Source organism: Homo sapiens, chromosome 4 (genome assembly GCF_000001405.40).
Source record: "Homo sapiens chromosome 4, GRCh38.p14 Primary Assembly".
Taxonomy (NCBI): Eukaryota; Metazoa; Chordata; class Mammalia; order Primates; family Hominidae; genus Homo; species Homo sapiens.
The window spans coordinates 156966878-156988503 of record NC_000004.12 but is presented as its reverse complement, the minus strand read 5'-3'; the positions used below and the strand labels follow the sequence as shown (position 1 = coordinate 156988503).

General features: G+C 38.8%; 1 protein-coding gene and 1 pseudogene across 6 annotated transcripts in view, besides 1 other annotated feature; both read left to right on the top strand.

Annotated features, from left to right (window-relative positions):
• Positions 1811–2132, top strand: RPPH1-3P (ribonuclease P RNA component H1, 3 pseudogene; annotated as a pseudogene).
• Positions 16418–16918: an enhancer, noted in NCBI's record as "H3K4me1 hESC enhancer chr4:157892738-157893238 (GRCh37/hg19 assembly coordinates)". NCBI's record gives its function as "activates a minimal SCP1, AML or CMV promoter by ChIP-STARR-seq in primed H9 embryonic stem cells {active_cell/tissue: H9 hESC(primed)}" and the evidence as "EXISTENCE:reporter gene assay evidence [ECO:0000049][PMID:30033119]".
• The window catches only part of PDGFC (platelet derived growth factor C), a 211346-nt gene continuing 206424 nt past the window's right edge, over positions 16705–21626 (top strand). For 2 of the 6 annotated variants that reach the window (XM_047415972.1, XM_047415969.1), the window contains exons 1-2: positions 17906–17998; positions 20759–20933. Coding sequence is in view for 3 of the 6 variants with exons in the window: in XM_047415969.1 (XP_047271925.1) it covers positions 20910–20933 (24 nt within the window). In the remaining 3 variants the exon portion in view is untranslated. Of the gene's footprint in view, positions 17719–17905; positions 17999–20758; positions 20934–21626 lie in introns of those variants that run through there. The other 4 variants (NR_036641.2, NM_016205.3, XM_017008455.2 and 1 more) reach the window with 2 other exon arrangements.

Here is a 21626-nt window from a genome sequence, read left to right as displayed (position 1 = left end):
AAAGGTCAATATATAGTGACATTATTTCAATTTACTAGCTAAACACAATTGAAAAAAAGAAGCTAAAAGATAAAATTCAATTTATTACAGCAATCAAAACCAAGAAATATTTCAGGGAAAATTTAACAAATATGTATGAAATCTGCAGACTGAAAAGTGTCAAACATTGCTGAGAGTAACTAAAGACCAAAATAAATGAAGGACATACTGCTCTCATGGATTGGACGATTTTACATTATTATGACGTAAATTCTCCCCAAATTGATCTGTAGATTTAAAGTAACCCTAATCAAAACTTCAGCATACTTTTTGGATAGAATTTGACAAACTAATTCAAATTATCTAGGATAATCAAAGCTTTAAAAAAGAAAAAGAACAAACCTTGAGGACTAACACTATTTGATTTCAAGACTCACTTTAAAGGTATAAGAGTTAAAAATAGAGTGGTATTGGGGAAAGAATAGACATGCAAATGGTCCCCCACTTATGAGAGTTCATCTTAAAATTTTTCAACTTTATGATGGCACAAAACCATCCTGATTTTGGCATAATATGTAGTATTAAAATATTACACGAGATATTCAATACTTTATTATAAAGTAAGCTTTGTGTTAGATTATTTTGCCCAAGTGTAGGTTAGTGTAAGTGTTCTGAGCATGTTTAAGGTAGATTAGACTAAGCTATAATGTTTGGTAGGTTAGGTGCTTTAAATGCATTTTCAACTTACTATATTTTCAACTTATCATAGGTTTTTTGGGATATAACCCCATCATCAGTCCAGGGAGGGCTTACAGAGGAGAATAGGTTTAGATCCAGGAAACAAATAATTCAGAAATAGACCTACATATATAGGTTCATTTGATTGTCAGTGAAGATGCCAAGGCAATTCAATGGGAAAAGTAAAATCTTTTCCAACATGGTTTCAGAACAAATAGGTATTCATATAGAAAAAAATAATTTTTAAAATTTTGACCGTATTTAAATGTCAACTTGAAATGGATCATTAACTTAAATATGAAAGCTAATCTATAAAACATTCAGAAGAAAACATAGAAGAAAATCTTAACATAAAAACAAAAACTCTGAAATAAAAACATGATAAATAGAACTTCGTCAAAATGAAAAACATTTTCATTTTGAAAGATACCATTAAGCAACTAAACAGGCTAACCACAGAATGGGAGAAAATATTCTCAATTAAAATTTCTGTCAAAAACTTATATCTAGAATACTTAGAAAACTCTCACAATTTAATAAGACAATGAAGCCCTAAGAGTCAGGGCTGAACCCAAACTGAAAACTACTGAAAACATAAAGAAATAAAATAAAACTTGTTGTGTTAGTTTTCCGTGGCTGGCATAACAAAATAACCCAAAATGTGTGGCTTAAACAACAAAGATGCATTTTCTCAGAGTCTGAAAGGTGAAGCCCGAGGTCAAAGCGTCAGCAGACTTGGTTTCTTCTGCAGTTTCCATCCTTGGCTTGCAGATGGCTTCCTTCTCACCCTCTTCCCATGGTCATTCCTCTGTCTGTGTATGTTTCTAGCCTTATCTTCCAGTGTGTCTGTATTAGTGTCTTATAAAGGACACCAGACAGACTGGATTAGGGCATACCCTAAAGACCTTATGTTAACTTAATTACCTTTTGAAGACTTTATCTCCAAATACAGTTATATTCTGAGGTATTGGATTGGGGTTAGGACTTCAATTTATGAATTCTGGGGGGACACAATTCAGCCCATAATACTTGTACAGACACTTCAGGAAAGAGTTATAAATAGTTAATAAGAGCAGGAAAAACAAAATACGGCAGAGTGAAACTCATTAGAGAGTCATGGGGCCATGAGCTGAGTGCGTCATGTCACTCCAGCCCCATGTCCCTTGGGAAGATCAGAGACTAGGGTCAGAAGCAACCTTAACAAGGCTCTCTTTGAGTTGCAAGGAGGTGAATTCCCAGAAAACAGAGCTGCTTGAGGTCAGACGGGGCAGGGGATGCTGCAGACCCCACCCCTGGGGAGGAGTTCAGGGGAAGTCTCCTAAGTGAGAGCTTGGAACGGATTCAGTGAAATGAGCTCAACAGCTAAGGTTAGGTACCCCACATGGGGTCCTCATAACTGCTGTCCTCCATCCTCTTTAGAAAGAGACAAGAACAAAGAAAAATGAAAAGATGATCAACACCATCAGGCACTAAAGAGATGCAGATTAAAACCACAATAAAACATCACTACACATTCGTATGAATGACTAAAATTAAAAATATTGAGAATACCAATTGTAGAGCAAATATAGTTCTCATATACTGCTGATATAATTATAAAATGGTAAATCACTTTGAAAAACTGGCAATTTCTTAAAGTTAAATATACATCTACCAATGAACCTACTAATTCCATTCAAAGCTGTTTACCCATTGGAAATGAACATATATGTCCTTATGAAGATTTTTACATAGCAACTTTATTTATAATAGCAAAAAAACTGAAAACTACTAAAATGTTCATTAACAGGTAAATGAATAAACATGACATAATTACATAATATAAAGATAAAATCAAATGCCTGCTAGTAATGAAAAATAATAAAGTGCTACACACAGCAACAATGATGAAACTTAGAATCATTATGCAGAGTGAAAAAAAGCCATAATCAAAAGAATACATATGGTGTGATTCTACTTACACAAAATTCTAGAAAATGCAAACTAATCTATATTGATAAAAAGCAAATCAGTAGTTGCCTGGGCATCAGATAAAAGGAGGTAACGACTACAAAATGACAAAAACAAATGTTGGGGTGATAGAAATGTTCTGTGTCATCATTGTATACATCTGACAAAACTCATAAAATTATACACTTAAAATGCATGCATTTAGCTATATATAAATTATAATTCAGTTCTGGCATGGTGGCTCATGCCTGTAATCCCAACACTTTGGAAGGCCAAGGTGGGCGGATCACCTGAGGTCGGGAGTTCGAGACCAGCCTGGCCAACATAAAGAATCCACATCTCTACTAAAAATACAAAAATTAGCCAGGCGTGGTGGCGCAGACCTGTAATTCCAGCTACTTGGGAGGCTGAGGCAGGAGATTCACTTGAATCCAGGAGGCAGAGGATGAGGTGAGCTGAAATCACACCATTACATTCCACCCTGGGTGACAAGAGGGAAACTCTTTCTCCAAGCAACAACAACAAAAAATTTTTTTAAATCTCATTGAATTATACATATATATATATATATATTTTTTTTTTTTTTTTTTTTTTTTTTTTGAGACAGAGTTTCACTCTTGTTGTCCAGGCTGGAGTGTAATGGCATGATCTCGGCTCACTGCAAACTCCGCCTCCTGGGTTCAGGCGATTCTCCTTCCTCAGCCTTGCGAGTAGCTGGGATTACAGGCCTACACCACCACACCCGGCTAATTTTTGTATTTTTAGTAGAGATGAGGTTTCACCATGTTGGTCAGACTGGTCTCGAACTCCTGACCTCAGGTGATCCACCAGCTTTGGCCTCCCAAACTGCTGGGATTACAGGCGTGAGCCACCGTGCCCAGCCAAGGGTTTTTTTTTTTTAATGTGTTGTTTTTTGTTTTTTTGTTTTGTTTTGTTTGTTGAGATGGAGTCTCGCTCTGTTGCCCAGGCTAGAGTGCAGTGGCGCGATCTCGGCTCACTGCAAGCTCCTCCTCCCGGGTTCAGCCATTCTCCTGCCTCAGCCTCCCGAGTAGCTGGGACTACAGGTGCCCGCCACCACGCCCGGATAATTTTTTTTTGTATTTTTAGTAGAGGCGGGGTTTCACCGTGTTAGCCAGGATGGTCTTGATCTCCTGACCTCGTGATCCACCCGCCTTGGCCTCCCAAAGTGCTAGGATTACAGGCGTGAGCCACCCCGCCCGGCCTTTTTTTAAATTATTTTTATAACATCTGCAAGTCACTCTTCATTCTCATTTCATTTTAGCTCCAATTATTACGTTACCACTAAAACATCTTTTGTCAAGGTCACCAATAACTTCTATGTTTCCAAATCTACTGTATAATTTTTCTATTTTCACTATTCTCTATTAGATACACTCCACATCTCTGGCTACTGAAAATGCACTTTTTTTTCTCACCTTTCACTGTCCTGTTTTTATTATTACAACACATTCCTGTATTCATTTTACCCCGTAGAGTTGGCTTTTCCTAGTCCCTTTTACTTAATCATTCTTCTTGACCCAAGGTCTGCATATTAGATATTCTCGAGGCTATTCCTGGGCCCTTTTCTTTTCTCCATCTACTCTATCACCATTGTCTCCCAGAACCTAACACAACGCCTGATATTCATAGTTGGTACTTGTTGAAGAAAAGGAGTAAATAAAATAGTAGAAATGCAAGCTCAGAATACATCAGTATCAATATGCTATTATGATTCATGATGTGAAAAGAAATATCCAAGAAGTTAATAATGACACTTTAATTCAAATAGATGCTACGAAGTAAAATTTTATCTGTCTCCTCATTCTAAAAATAATTTTGGTTAGTATACTCAAACCAAATATATCTCTTATTTATTCAAATTCCTGTCTATGATTCCTTTTATGTTACAGATTACAATACACATCAAATAAGTGGCAAAGTTAATGATATGAGACAGATGTGGCTATCTCCCAAGCCTACATACAAAATAATAATTTGAATATTTTTAGAGAAAAACAGAGGATGTGATTTACTATCCATAAAAACTCAGTTTATTTGTCTGTATTGTTGAAATTAGCTATGTTTTCTTTGAGAAGGAAAACAGAAAACATATGACTTCAAAAAATATTTTTAATATGATGTCTAATTCTCAACAATTCTAAAGAAGCTGGACAATAATATTTTAAGTTTATGCATACATGATGGTTGCACTTCTTTTAAAATATGCCTAATAGTCACCATAGTAACAGATGCAGAGTCTCCTCTATGTGCCTCCTGGTGTTATCAATGTGAATAACAGCACAGTGTTAGAAAGGCAAACAACAAATTCATAGCAGCACATCATGAGATCAGTTTTAATAACTGTAGTGTGTTTAATTTACATTTAAATCTAGAAACGATTAATATTTATTATTATTATCATATAATGATACAGAAAATATTTTCTTTTGTATCTAGAAAATATTAATATTAATGCAAATATAATTTGCATATGTATAGAAGAATAGACAGATCCATCAATCAATATCCTTTTACACTACTCTGTGGAGTTCAAACAATATAGTCTTGTTCCTGCAGGGCCACCAGCACAGGCCAAAACAGAAATTGGCCACTGACATAACTCATATTTTTATGAAAGGATAATGACTAAAGACAACATAAAAATCCTAAATTGTTAAACACTTAAAGAATAATTGGGATAACAGATTTTTCTTAAAAAGGGCATATTTTGACTAGAAAATCTATCCTTCTTCCTTGAGAGCTTCCTTCCATTCTTCTTTCTTAGATTCCACATTCTTTTCCCTGCTCCTATATAAGCTTTTGTTCATTTCCTTGTTTTAAATAATTTTTAATATTTTTAGAGTTATCTATACTCTTCGTCTGGCCAGAAATGTCTTCAAGGCCCAAGTAATATTGCCTTTAGCAATTATCTTTCTGCAAAAAAAAATGAGAGAATATTTTGGTAGAAAACAAATAATTACAAATTGAATTAGAAGATGTTGGAAATGGAAGGCATCTTGAAATCAACCAGGGTGAATTACATGTTTGCAGTGATAGAAACCAAGGACCAGAAAAGTTGTTGTTCTTGTTGTTGTTCTTCTTTGTCTTCTTCTTCTTTTTGTTAAAGTCACATATCTAATTGGGATAGAACTCAGAATTTCTGCTTGTGAGTACTCTCCAGGGTACCGTGGTGTCCATTGTTTTGAACCAACAATTGATATGTTTTGAAACGTTTTTTGAACTTTCAAAATTAAATTACTAATGAAAACTCACTCTCACTTAAAAAATATGTGCTAGCTTTTCCCTATGAAGCTTTTTGCCTGATCATTTCATGAGGGACATTTAAATGGAGTAGTGGTAAAAACTCCATACCATGTCAGCTGCAAATGTGTCATTTCTGCATATAAAATGTATCAGATGAAACTTGCTAAGGGATAAGAAAAATATCATCATAACCAGTATTTTATATCATGCTTAATAGAATAAATATTTATGAGCTTGAAAAGTCATTAAGTAGTTATATTTTATCTGAGCTCATTAATGTAGTTTTTACTACTCTGCAATGAATTTATTTATTCAGTATAATAAAATATCAATATATCAAAATAATAAATCATTGCCAGATAGGGGAAAAAAGTGGCATGTTTGGTTCATCCCATAGCAGTTTTTCTATTTTTTTGACATTAACTCAGATCTGAAGTCTAATATCATAGTAAAAGTAATTTCTAAAAGCACATGAAATGTAAAATAAATTGTCATTTAACTAATTTACTTTAGGTATGAATAGTCATAAAACCGCAACACTTCATATCCCATGTGAGCTTCGTGGCTCTTAAAATTTCTTCTGTCCAGGCAGCCATAGGCATCAATTATTTAGAGACCACATTCACACACAAATATACATTTTAAACTGTAACATGAAAACTTCAAAACTAATAAAAAAGAATTATATCTGAGGTCATATTTTCAAAACATGAAGAAGATACTTTCATAGAAGTTATTTTCCAAAATGATGACATCTTGGATATGACAGATTGGTTACTAAATAGACAGAGACTTGTGAACCATCTGCTATGTAAGATTTCTCTATCAAAAAGAATTAACTCTATTTAAACCAGTCAGACAATATGAGCATGGGCTGTTTGCCAGTCCTGAGAAATAATCTTGTAATATTGGAAAGAATGTTAACACAGTATTTATGAAAAGACAAACACAGCATTGCTTCCATTTTGGAAAGTACCTACTGGATCCTCTTTCCAATTCACCGAAAAAATGGAGTTACATGCATAATTTTCACTTATGTGTGAGCTTAGAGGTTCAGTACAGCTTGACTGCTGTTTTCCATAATTTAGAGCTTCCTTTTACAAGATCCCCAACTTTGACTGACAGCCAAGCAAGAAAATGAACTCCACATGGCTCCAGTCACCCTAATTATGTCAGATGTTGCTGCTCTTCCTTCTATTTTTCTTCCATGAAGATTTAGCGTGGGTATATCTGCATTTTGGTGACTTCATATTTTTGTTAATTTCACTCAAAAAATAATTAAAATGCATGTTAAACGTGGAGCACCACATATACAATGTCCAACACTGGAGTGAGGAGGAGGAGGAGGAGAGATGGTTGGCAGATTAAAACAAAAAGAGGAAAGGAAAATTTCTGCTGTCAAAGATTTTGTAATCAATTGCAGGGAGGTATATCAGCAAAGCTATAAAATATAACGATAATATTGGGCAGTGAGGTTGAGGATTGGCATACAAAATTTTTAGAAGGTTAAGAGAGACTCATCCTGGTATTGTGATGGCAAAAAATAGGATGGACTATAGAAAAAGGCTTCTTTATTTAGTAAAAATAATTATTTAGTATTATATTGATTTTAAGATACCATTGCTTATAAAATTCCCCATTTAATTAAAATAGCCTTTTGGGAAGAAAAAAAAATAGTTGTTAAGTTTCTTCTTACATTGAATGTAAGCTATCTGAATTTCAGAAATGTTAAAACAGAAAAAAGTTTATCTCCTAATTAAAAAGAATACAATTACACAATCCATTACATGTTCTGCATGTTTAAAACACACAGGTCATTGTGTCAAAGGCTTCACATACTTTGTCTCATTTAATTCTTATTATATCTGAAGTAGATTCTGTTATTATCAGTTTGTAGTGATGGTGGGTCTCATGCTGGGGAATATGATTGCTGGTATTTGTTTCCTCAGTTTAGGTAAGGGGCTAAGATGTTAGCTTCTATGTTTGACTCCAGTGCTTGGATCTTGGCTGGGAGTCTACACTGCCTCCAAATACTAGTTGAACACCCTCTGTTACATGAGGCAGAGTGATGTAATGGTCAAGTGCATGAACTATACAAGCTAAAAACCCAGCTCTGCCACTTATCACTTGTGTGGTTGTAAATGAAATGCTTAGCCCTCAGTAGCTCACTTTCCTCCGCTATAAAACTATTATGATTTTATAATATCTATTTCATATGTTTGTTGTGAGAATAAAGCAGTGAATATACATGAAGTCCTTAGGACAGTACCTGGCACATGGGGAGACTTAGCAATTATTATTTGATAAGTGCAATATGTTAAGTGCTGGGAAAAAAGAAGATGAATAAAAAGCAAAATAGGGTCAGGTGCAGTGGATCACGCCTGTAATCCCAGCTCTTAGGGAGGCCAACGCAGGCAGATCACTTGAAGCCAGAAGTTTGAGACCAGCCTGTCCAACGTGGTCAAACCTCACCTCTACTAAAAATACAAAAGCTAGCCGGGTGTGGTGGCACAGGCCTGTAATCCCAGTTACTCCAGTGGCTGAGACATGAGAAACACTTGAACCCAGAGGCGGAGGTTGCAGTCAGCAAGGCCAGATCATACCACTGCACTCCAGCTTAGGCATCAGAGTGAGACTCTAAAAAAAAAAAAAAAATCAAAATAGAATAGACTTATATAATATATTGGGTTATGCATCATTGTGGAAGGAGCATAAGAAAAGATGCAAAAACTAAGTAGGAACATGTAAGTTGCCGTATGTCAGGAAACTACAAGACACTCAGAGAGTGTGAGATTTGGGCACTTAAGGAAGAGCAGATCATTGCTAGGAGTATAGATTTTATTCTGCAGGCAAAGGAAGACTGAAAACTTTGGAGTAGGGCATCCTGATCAGGTTTTTGTTTTAACTAGATCAAGCTGATAATCTGATGACAGTTTGGAGAAGCATAAAAGTAGCCTAGGTAGAAAGCAGTTGGGAGGCCTTTGTGCAAGGAATAGATAGATCATGGGAGAAGATAGGGTGTATACTTAACATGGGAAAAAGCAAATGCAGATTGATGGGATGTGCAAAAATAAGCGGGAGAAATGGTGAGGGCAACAATAATGCATTTTTACTTCCACTGTAACTTCTTGGGCTCAACAGGTTGCTTTAATGTTTCTGACAAATAGCTATTTTGATAAAGTTCAAGATACTCTCAAGGTTAGTAGTAACAGAACTGCCTCCCCCTTACAATCTCACCTTCACCAAGAAAATAGCCAGTCATCGCACTAACTTTGATTTTTCCTGTTATTGTCCTTCAGAAACGTATTTGAATACACCTTTTGTGTTTCCTTCATCATAAGTTGTCAGAACCAGCAACACTTTAATGGTGATTTTACGGCAAGGTTTTACTGCTAACAAAGGGCACCATATAATCATTTTTCCTTCACAAGGTTTCAGAAGATTAATTTTTCATTTCTAGACCCACTAAAGAGAGTATTCAATCGAGATACAGTATTGCGACGTTTTCATTGACCGAATGCCTGTTTCCTGTATGCTTGAGGCATCCTTCTTTGGATATCAGACAAAATCACTATGATTTATTTTTTGTGATTGGCCATAGAATTTTAAGTTACATATTTATGACTGGAATTGTGTGTAGTCATAAAATAAACACCAAATGCTTAATATAAATGTATACTTAATAAGTTTGAAATGTGTTTTTTAAGACACGGTATATTTATCACTTGCTAGATGACATGAGGCAATGCAAACATGATACTTTAAAGTGCCAGTTCTAAAACCAGTTATCTGAACTCTAAGTCAGGCTTCTATACTTATGAACTGTGTGACCTTGGGTAAGCCCAAAAACCTCTCTGTGGCTCAGTTTTTCATGTTAAAAATGGGAAATTCTATTAATATCTACTCAGAGTTTTTGTAGTTAATTTATCAATTGTTTAATATGCAGTACAGGATTCCCTTTCTAGAGTAGTTCATTGTGAACATTTCAGTAAAAGGAGTTAAAAATGTGATGGATCTATAAGATATTAAATGAAAGTAGGCAGGCTACTGTATTCCCAGACCAGGCAATAGTTAATTTGTATACCAGACTAAATAGATTCTGAAAAATGAGAAATTTCTTCCCGTTAGCAAGTTAGGCATGCTGGATGTGGGTGTATACAGTGATAATAATCTTCTGATGGAAATCCAGATAGACAGAAAGAAAGAATATTACGAAGTGCATTGACTTCCTAAAGTACTGTTTTTACTGACGCATAGTACATAATAATTTACCTCAATAAAAATAAATAATAGGAGCTATGGCAATTAGCTGTGTCCACATTTTTCTATTTAGTTTTACGTGTGTTTTAAAAGCCATTTATGAAGGAAATAAATGTAAAGAATTTTTTCCACTTGCTGTCCAGTGGGACAAAAATGGCACCATAGGGTCTTTTCATATGGTATACCCCTTCAAATACAAATGGAATGTATCTATGGAATTAGAATTTCAATTGAAGACTTTTGCTTGCCTGAGGGCTTAACAAGTCACTAGTCCCTTCATGCAGCAGTCTTTGTGCTTTGAATAACTCCAACTAATCTAAAATACCTTTGTAAAATTATCAATAGGGATGCAAATTTGCCTCACCATGCCACTTAAAAAACTCTTGGACTAAGTATTTTAAATTAGAAACATGTGGAAGGATGTCTATAGGAATTACATATATAAGAAAGGTCTAGATTCTGACATCTATAGCTAATCACAAATTGATTCTTCAAAGGGAGTAACTGGGAAAACAGCATATTTCTTCCTAGCCATGATGCTTCAATTCAGTAGCAATCATGAGTAGAAAAAGAGGAATGATAATTCACTCCCTTTGTCCTCAAAGACAAGGAGATAGATTCTTTGAAATAACTGCCCACAGATGGTCTAGGCTTAGACATTGGCCGGATGACTAACGTTGGCCAGGATAAACAGGATACTCCCGCTAGCCCACGCCTTGGGTGGGCTTCAACCCCAAGGCTAGCTGCCCGAGGCCTTAGTCACTATCACTGCCTCGGGTAACCCATATTCATTTTGACTCAAACATTTTATTTAGGCTGTCCAGTCAGATAGCTGTGTAATGTTGTAGTAGTATTCTTGAACACCTCAGGTTAAACATAGGGGAAGACATTCAGTCATTGTGAAGAAAACTTAGAAGAGAAATGTAAGAAAGCTTCAGGTAAGATGTTTTTGTCCAAAGTCCAGGGCTTAAAGGTGTCAAATTGAAAAGGAGTAAAAGGAGAAGACCTGGAGTTAAATATTAACTCTACCTGTCATTAATATTGTCACTCTGGGAAAATTAATGCCATCTTTAAGGTTCAGTTTCTCTGCCGTAAAATGGGAAACCTATGACCTTCCTTAAAGGAGAAGCTGGAAGATTAAATGAGAAAATATTAATATATTTTAATGAATCTACAGTTCCTGGGACATAGTAGGTGCTTTTAAAGATAAATTTAAGCAAAAGTAATTCTCCCCTCACTTTAATTTTCCTTGGTTTGCCTTGGTATAACTATAAATCTTTTTGAGTAGCCTGCAAGAGGAAAACATGGCTTTTTGTCCTCCTAATTTCTTGTAGGACAATTCAAAGAAGATTTAGATGATGAGAAAGAAGAGAAGGTGGTACAGAGGATGAGGGAAACACAAAGGGAAATTGTGCTGATAAAAACAAAATTTGGGAAAAGAAAATGATCCCTTAAGAGTGTTGCAAGTCTGCTTTAAAAGAAAACAAGCAGATTTATTACTGCAAAGATGATAAGGAAAGCAAATAGTAATAATCATAATAGAAAGGGGGGTCTGTTGATCTATCTTGAACTTCAAAAGCAGTTGAGGATACTTTTAATATTAGATTAGTTAAGCCATATTTTCCTTTCTTCTAGCCAGCCAGCAATACTTTTTGATGTTCACTGTTAAGTAGTGGGCTGAGACTATCCACCTCTTTTACAAAGGCTAGTAGCCAAGGAAAGGACTGCATTTGAAACAATGATCACAAAGTGAAAGGCTCCTTCTCCCATGACCTTTGAAATAAGAAGGTCACTATCTGAGAAAGGAGGGTCTGTAGCTGTGTCTTGACCTCTTTACTATGATTTGTCACAATGGGGACAACAGCCTTCATATCCTACAAATGATTTCAAGAGAGAGAAAAATGACACCTTATTGACTCTAAGATATGGACAAAGATAGTGTTGCTGTCCATGTTCTTAGGGGATACCCCTTGCTCTCCAGATTGTTTCACATTCCACCAGTGTGACTCAATAGAACAGTATGAGTTTGACCATCTGTTCTTGGCTAACAACAATATTATTTCCTTAGTGTTTACAACTCAGTTATGTACAATAGCTATTTCTTTTTACCTTGACACTCCGCTTAGGACTGCACTTTGCCTCTTTCGAGGCTGTTAGCATGATAACAACCAAATATTGAAAAGTAAAATATGAATACCTGCACCTATTGAAGGCCTGGGGATTTATTTGGTTTCCTTGAATTCCATGATATTCCTGTATACTTGCCCTAGCCAGTGATTTCCAAACTCTGTCCCCTCTTCTTTTTGATTACCATTAGAGCTTGGTTTTTCAAACTATGGCAATAACAGATACAATAGTACTGCTCTAGTTGAGCAAGTTTAGAAAGAAGAACCTGTTCATTATCTCTTTTGCCAGCCACGAAGACATCTCTGATATGAGGCTAGGAAACTTGTGCTAGTAATTTTTTATCACAGAAGCACACTGAAGATGAAAAAGTCTTGCCATCATTATCTATAATAGCTCAGAGAATTTCTAAAGCAGTAGGGGGATCAAGACAGAAGCCAGTGGCGATTCCTCATGTAAGGAAAAGGAAACTGAGGGGCAGAGAAGATTTCTAGATCAAGGTTGTACTGTTTATTAGTGGTAAAGCCAGACTAAGCCCCTGACCTCCCATCTCCCAGTGAAATGATCTTTTGTTGTGGTGGTTCAAAGGTTACTAGGGCTTCTCTTTCTTTACGGCTGTTTCTGGCTAGTTACTCCCTCTGAGTTCAGAGTCAGACAAACACTTCTAAGATTTTGGAAAATCTTAGATTTCAATAAGGAAATAGCAGCTTTACTTCAAAGGAAAAGGCCACAGAGAGCCAACTAAAGTCCATTTCTGCAGGTCACACTTCTCTTAACTCCCCATCCTCCAGATCCATTCCCCAGGAAAGTCAGACTGACAAAGTGTGTCTTCTTCTAGAGCAGAGCCTTAGCAAAACCCTCTACCCTCAGCCTCAGCAGGTAAACCCTTCTCAGATTAGCAGCTGATACACTGGGGAGGTAAAAGTTACCTGATGCTAGAAGAATAAAATGTAATGAAAAGTGTCTCATTTCTTGGTTGGAAAAACAGAGTATTGATATATATCTTCATAACCTAGAGATAGCAAGGTCGTATTTCTCAAGATGAGGTAGTGGGAAAAGTGGAAAGAGAAGAGGATGACTCTAAGACAGACTACTGACTTCATTTATTTATTTATTTCTTTTTTTCCTAACACAGTCTTTATTCCTGCTGTGGTCTGTGGACGTTTACTTTGACTACTAATGATATCTCCAGTCCTGCCATATATATATATATATATATATATATATATATATATATATATATATATATATATATTTGTTACTTGTCAGCCATTCTCAATACACAATGAGTATTTAGGTAGAAGAAAGCTTTCTGAACTTCAGGAAATCATGCTCAATTATCTGCCACTAAAATACTGAAATGTTCCAGGAAAAGTCTTAAAATAACTTTGCACATATGCCTCTGTGTGTGTGTGCATGCACGTGTGTGTGTGTGTTAGGATCAAAACAGAAAAATAAAGAGCAAGAAAACGTAGATTTTTTTTTTTGGTGGCAAAAATATGTCCCCATGGTTCCCGCCCCTTTGAGTGTTAAGTGGCTAGCTAAAGGAGTAGGTTGCTTTAAAATCTTATTTCACTTAAAAACATTTAGTAGTGACACCCCCTCCCCCAAATTATCATTGTTAACCACCAAGTGTATTCTTTAGTAAGAATTTGTGGTAATACTCTTCATGCATGCAGCAGCAATGGGCACTCCTTCTTAAGGTTTAAGAAAACATGAAAACCACAAAGAATGTCTGAAATTATTTTCTCTTGGTTGGCGGAACAGATGCCTTTCATCAAGGAAAATGCCTTTGGCCAAAACAAAGCCATATTCATTTAAAATATATTGTTTAGTAATTGCACAGACTCTGGATTATATAAAATTTACTTTCAATGCAAAGATTTCATTTTTCTAGAAAAGGTTAACAAGCAAAATAGAGCAGGAAGACAGGCAGAGGATAATGTGTTAAAAGAATCAACTACGTCAAGGGCAAGAGCAGTTCAAGAAATGACAATGCAAGTACATTGAAAGGAAATTGGCCAATGTGGATGTGATTTTGTCTAGGGGTCATTCAGGAACACCTGGCTGACTTTATTTATAAGGCGATTGTCAAATCAATCTGTAGAATATGGATGAGGTGAAACGCAGAGGTAGAGTATTATTCTAGATCATCTGTAACTTTTCAAATACAACTATCGCACTGAAATTCCAGGGAGAATGTAAGTGACTCCAATAAAGAAACCTGTCAGTCAGTCAAGAGTGTTTATTTATTATCCCCCTGTGCCAAGCAATATTCTAGCCAATATGAAATGATACAAAATAAAGAGTAGTCATCACCCTTCCAATCTCCTGAGAGCAAATGGATTACATTTGCAGACACACACACACACACACACACACACACACACACACACACCCCACCTCTATGTGGGTGGTCAGGAAACTCAACTATATGGACATATAACAATTTCATTTAGAAAAGTGCTGATTAGAAAACTAAACTTACAAAATTAGAAAAACTGGAGAATAATGAATTTTATGAAAAATAGATTACAATGGATTCATAAGGCATGCCCTTTATTTAAGTCCCATTATGTTATTAAAATTGGGAATAACCCTTCACCCTCACAAATTTACAAAATATTTTTGGAACACATTATGCAAATATGGAGTCACACTGGTGTTGTGGAGCTGCTAACTCGAATAAAATACCATACTTGATAAAAAACCTTCTGTCCACTAAACTGTAAATGCCTTAAAGTCAAAGATCAGGCCTTATTTGCCTTTAGTGTATATTTAGTACTCTGTAGATAGAAGTGGTAAAGGGATAAGAATGAATGAATGAGACAGGCGGGTGAAATTTTCAAGAATGAGACAGATGGGTGAAGTTTTCAAAGGTTTCTAAAAGGGAAAAACAAGAAGACTAGGATATTCCAAGCAGAAAGGTCTGGTTGGTTGGCCCCAGTTGGTGTTCGCATATAAGAAGAGGGCTTGGCATTTTCCTCACCACTGAAGAAGGATCAGCCCCTGGTTTGGTCCAGTAAGAATATGTTCTTGCCCAAATGCCACTCCTTAGTTTCAGGGACATTGCTATTTTGGTTTTCTGTTCCAGCCCAAGTGTTCTTGATGGTCGAATTGTTTGCATTGACTTTTTTTCCACAAGAAGTTGGGTGATATTGCTGATTTGCCTGCCATGGCACTTCCTTGTTTTCATTTTGATTATTACTCAAAAATAGCTTCATTTTAAAATTCAACTTTTCTGACTCTCTGCTTGTGCCTTTAACACATTGACAATGATTTTCTGCTTCTCCACAAAGAAAGCACGTTGGATCCTGTCACAGACATATTTAGCAGACATGGAACCACCATAAGCCCTGCTTGGCATGTGTGTTTCATTTCAGACTACCTCATGAGAACTTTAGGTCTTAAAGCATCGGCCTCTCTCTCCAAGTCAGCCTGAACACAAGCCACAAGAGATTTCAGTTCTTTCTCGACCTTTTTGGTGTAAATGTAAACAATTCTATCACCAGGGGTTCAGGGCAGCCTAGTTTTGTTAGAGGCTGTATTGTAGGAAAGTCCAAGGTTGCAGGATCATTCTGAGTCCCTTAGACACCATTCTCAGAAGAGCTTGCTATTAGCTTAATGCTGCCCAACTACTACGTATGCTTCACGAGGGCAGGGACTTTTGTCTGTTTTCACTGCTACGGCTCCAACCTCTAAACAGTGCCCGACATAGTAGGCATTCAGTAAATATAGTACTTGTTAAATGGATGTTATTTTGGCTGCCTTTACTTTTGCTTTATTTGTCCTGCTTTACGGAGCTGGAAATTGGAGGAAAGCCTTTGAATTCATTTCCCTTCTTCCTTCTGTTCTGAAACTCTGGCCAAGGGTCCTAGCAAAGACCTTAGGGAGTGGGGAGCCCTCCTGGAAACTAATGACAAGTCAGGCGACAGGGGGCGGGAGAAGGAGAGCTGCAGGAAGTTCTTTCCCACTTACTTCTGCAGCACCCTTCACCACCCATCGTGCTCTGTATTTGGGGTTAGAGGTGTTCCGTGGAAGGGAAAGCAGGGGCCGCCTTGGCCGCGTTCCTCTCCTGGGCCACCGGGGTCTTGCCCACAGCGAGTCCCGCAGCACCCCCTGTCTGCGCAGCACCTGTTGACAGCCAGTGGGCGGCCAAGCCCGCTCGCGCGGACGCGTCCCAGGGCTGCCCCTCCCAGAGGCGCTGACCCCCGCCCGCCCCATCGGCCGCCTGCGGGAGAGCCGCTGAGCCGCCCCCGCTCGCCAGGCGCGCGCTCCGCCCGGGCTCGGCCCACGGCCCCCACCTCCTGTCTGCCGCCCGGCGGGGGGAAGGTAGAGAAGGGGAGGGGACAAGCCGGATCCTCCCGGCCGCCCCGGCCTTCCCTCTTCACCCCGTGCGGAGACGCCGCGCGTAGCCCCGAGGTTAGCGCGGAGCCCGAGGCGTGGGGGGAGGGGACGGGGAACAACCGGAGCCCCGCGGTGACCCCGAGCGGCCGAATTGCCCCAGGCTTTGAGGAGCGGGGGACGAGCCCGAACAAGGTGAACTTTGGTCGCGGAAAACTCAAGCCAGGTGCCGGAATCCGTGCTGCGGCGCTCCGAACCCGGGGCCAACTGCGCTCCGGGCTGAGGAGCGGGAGCCCCGCGGCCTCTCTCCGCCTGCGCCCGGGCCGCCGTCGGCCCGGAGCCCCCCGGCCCCGCTCCGGCGCCCCGGCCCGTGGGACCCGCCGCGGCGCCCTCGCCTTGTTTCTTCCCCCTCCCCCTTCGGGGGTGGGGGGTGGGGCGGGGGAGAGGGGCGCCCGGAGAGCCGCATCTATTGGCAGCTTTGTTATTGATCAGAAACTGCTCGCCGCCGACTTGGCTTCCAGTCTGGCTGCGGGCAACCCTTGAGTTTTCGCCTCTGTCCTGTCCCCCGAACTGACAGGTGCTCCCAGCAACTTGCTGGGGACTTCTCGCCGCTCCCCCGCGTCCCCACCCCCTCATTCCTCCCTCGCCTTCACCCCCACCCCCACCACTTCGCCACAGCTCAGGATTTGTTTAAACCTTGGGAAACTGGTTCAGGTCCAGGTTTTGCTTTGATCCTTTTCAAAAACTGGAGACACAGAAGAGGGCTCTAGGAAAAAGTTTTGGATGGGATTATGTGGAAACTACCCTGCGATTCTCTGCTGCCAGAGCAGGCTCGGCGCTTCCACCCCAGTGCAGCCTTCCCCTGGCGGTGGTGAAAGAGACTCGGGAGTCGCTGCTTCCAAAGTGCCCGCCGTGAGTGAGCTCTCACCCCAGTCAGCCAAATGAGCCTCTTCGGGCTTCTCCTGCTGACATCTGCCCTGGCCGGCCAGAGACAGGGGACTCAGGCGGAATCCAACCTGAGTAGTAAATTCCAGTTTTCCAGCAACAAGGAACAGAACGGTGAGTCTTTCCCCCATTCTCCCCCTGCTTGTTTCTCGCTGTGTGTGTTAACGTTGGCATTGTGCGTTGGTATGTGATATATACCAGACTGTGAAGGTATCTTTGGTCTCTCATTACATGCAAATGTGCGCTGCGTTCATTGGCATGGACTGTTAAAGGTTAAGTGTAGTTTGCAACTTCGGGAGCTGCCACAAAGCTCCAAGAGGGCAACGTGAGTGCCACTGCTGAGTGAGGACATTCTGGGAGCGATTGTGAACGTCATTTCAAATGCACATTGCAGGTTCGCTCATTGCTAAAGTTAGAAGTTCAAGAACTGCCTCTAAAAACGAATCCAAAATGAATGAGCCTTGGCATGTTTGACTTTACTCAGATTTGGGGAGGGCGAGGGGGGTCGGTCAGGAAATATATCAGCCGCATTAATTGAAGCACTCTAGGTCGAAGTCATCAATTAATCAATGAGTAGATAGGAAATATAGAGGTCAAGAGGCTGTGTGGTCGTTTTTAGAGGAATTAAAAAGTGTATTTCTCTTGCTCCCTAGTTTTTGTTTTTTAAACTTGCCTTTGTACTCTGAAGTCCTTACCTTTCTGGTGGTGTGTTTTTGTATGTGTTGGTGAATGACTGCTATTTTGTGTGTGCTGGAAACGACTTAATCCTGCATAGGAAATGAGAATTACTTTCAGCTTTCAAGTGTACCTGAAATGTTTAGAAAACTCTCAGATGCAAGTTCCCTTGGGCTGGGATTGCACAGAGCTGGAGAAAGGCTCCTTTCATAAAGCCAGGGCAGCTTCAGGGTGTGTAATTTGCTTAGCCTCTGAACCCATATGATTTACATCATTCAATTTCTAAACTCTTTTTCTCTTCATCTACCATTATGAAGTCATTTTTGAGAATACTTTGTAAATAGAAATTTTATACTGCACATGAAACCACAATGTTCATGTTAGGCTGTCTAAAATTGGAATATTTAACGCCCTGTTTACAAATGGTGGCTCTTACTGTAATTTGAAAAGGAATATACATGTTTTTACTGCTTTGTATATCATCTATTCAGAATGCAAGGATTCTGTCACTTGATTAACCATGCAAAATGAACACAAGTGGCATACCTACAAAATTAAGATAGGATGTGCTATAGTTTTAAGTCAGAGTGATTTTTTTTCCTTTTCATATTGGGGTGTTTCAAGACTTCAACTTTGAATTTAAACTCTATGAAGTGTTCATGTTTAAGAAAGCACAGAAAGTTTTAGGGTATAAAAGTAGATAAAATAAGGATTCTGCCGACTTTTGCAAACGTTATTTGTATTTGCTGTTGCGCAGCAAGACATAGTATCACATTTATCAGCTAATATTAGTGTGGTGCTTCTTACAACTTGCTAATGTGATGCCACATGGCACCTGCAGGCTCCTTGAGCTGCTGATCAAAGGGCAGCCTAGGGATGTATCTCTAATCACAGTAGCTGCAGAGGTCTGGGGGAAAGTGATCAAAGGAGCCACAGCACCAGCTGTACCCGTGCAGGAAACACATCAGACCAACCTTTGTTCTTTCTCATGTAAAATAAATGTCCAGTTCAAAATATTGCTTCTTACTAGCCAAGCTCCTCCATAATGACAACAATGCACAATATTCCTGGCTTCCTGGCTTCTGTTTTTTATTGTTCCTGTCCCATATCATTTCTCCTATTGCCTTGTCTTATCAAGCCTCTCTTGGCATCTGCCCGAATCTCTTTGCTGACCTGTGCTTCTCTTTGTCCTTTCCTTTTAGTTCTCTCTTGTGATCCCCATGCTATCATCACTTTGTAAGGGTCCCAGAGCTGTCATGCAGCATGTGGTCATAGGCCACTTTACCCAAGTAGATTCACACCTCCAGGAGAGATGAGTTCATTAAGCCAGGCCACACACATTCTGTTGCCATCTGAGGCTGGGCCATTTCCATTCCTAAGATGCATGATGCTAAAAATTGCTGCTTGTTTCCTAATCTGTGGGTAGAGGATTAGGCTATGTTTGGGGGTTGGTCTATGTTAAGGATGGCAGCAGGAAGTAACTAGAAGTAGAGGAACTACTTGTAGTTTTTAGCCCAAGGAGAAGTGGCACTGGCCAGCACTAGGGGGCAATATAGAGCTATTTTCTTGCACATGCTCAGGTTGATTTTTATACGTAAATGTTTCAAGATTTGAGGGTAACAGGTGGGTGCTGAAGAAGATTCCCCTGGAATGTAACCAGATTTGTTAGAGCTACTACCATTACCGTTACTACTACTACTTCTACTTCTTCTTCTTTTTGTCTTTCAAATTTTCCATTATGTGGGTAATCTTTTGCCCACATACTGAATTATGATTGAATTTTGATTGCCCTGTTGCTGTCTCAATTTTGACAGTTGTACAGTCCTGTAAATACGAACCCTCCTTGAGGATACCACGTAGAAGATCCCATTGGCCCAGTTTGTGCATTGCATCGTTTTGTGACAGGTCTTCTCTAACTCTGAAATGTCCAAATTGATATATTATGACTGTAGCAGCTCATTCTTGTCTCCAAGGACCCCTCCTCATGATACTCTCTTTTCTTGAGTATTCTAAAGTCCCTAATGGTGATTACTCAATCAGGTACCTCGGGCTGCTCAGTTTTAATATTAACTTGGTATTTCAAGAGGAGGTAGAATTGGAAATTGATTGCTGTAGCCAATGCTGCATACATGGATTTAGACTGGATCATGTGGACATGGTTCAGAATTAGCTTTGAAGGGTTAGTGTCATTTACACTATTGTTAGGTATCTGGTTTTTGACCTACCATTGGATTGCAATTCTTGCCACTTTTACTGTACAAAGTTTTATCCTCTAATATTATAAGTTGACTTCATATACTATACTTAATTTTTAACCTTACTTCTGACCCTGTCTCACTTATGAAAACAAGAGTCTTCAGATTTAACTTGAGGAAAGAGATTAAAAGATAACATTGACTTGCTTGGAGGGTGTCTGGCCTGTATACTTGTTGTATGACCATGGTGAAAAATACTCATATTTTGTGCACACTGGTTTTAGATGAGAATGCCTATTGTGGAATGATTAAGTTCTGGGACGGTGCTTCTGAGTTGTAGCAGAAAGAATCATACACCCAGGAACAAAACAAAACCTACTTTGTCTGTTGCATACAGCACAAAGAGATGTCAATGACAAAGTTGTTGGTGGAGGAATGCCTCTTCTACCTGTGTTGTTGGTGAGTGATTTTTAGTTTACTCATAGATTAAGAGCATGCGTATCATTTTTTTCTCATTTTCTTTAGCCATTCTGAATTTTGATTTGGAATATGCCGCTCTTCGCTACGGTTGGTCTTATTAACATCAGTTATTGTATGTGTTCTTTTTCTCAAGGGCTTTTGTGGCATGTGGGGCAATTTACTTTGGTCTGCTGGTCGTGCCCTTTTGCCGGTATCTTGTGTTTATGGATTTTCCATCTCTTTTTATCAGTGCCAGCTTTCTCTTCCTACTGTCAATGCTCCTGTATCTAACAAAATTTAAATTAAAAATGGAAAATTAAAAAAGGTGCCCAGTCCCCTCGCCATCATTTTTAGGTGGCAGCTTCAAATCTCTGTTTTATCAAAAACAGATAACCACAATATTTAGAACAGTGTCCAAGAGTAAATAGGCTCTAACTGCAGACTAAAGGGACTTTCCTGTAAGTTTCCCTGTAAGTTTTATTGCGTGACCTTTTTGACATTTATTTTTGTTGTTTAAAGGCTTTTTTACAAAAAAAAAAAAAAAGAAAAAACTTCCTCCTGGTTCTCTGCTGTTTGAAATAGTTGAGGAAGTTGAACAAGTACAGTGCCATTATGTAATGATGAATTTTGTCTTTTCACAGTAGGTGATTAAAAAGCTCTATTATGTGGTAATTTTTCTTCCATATCAATTTT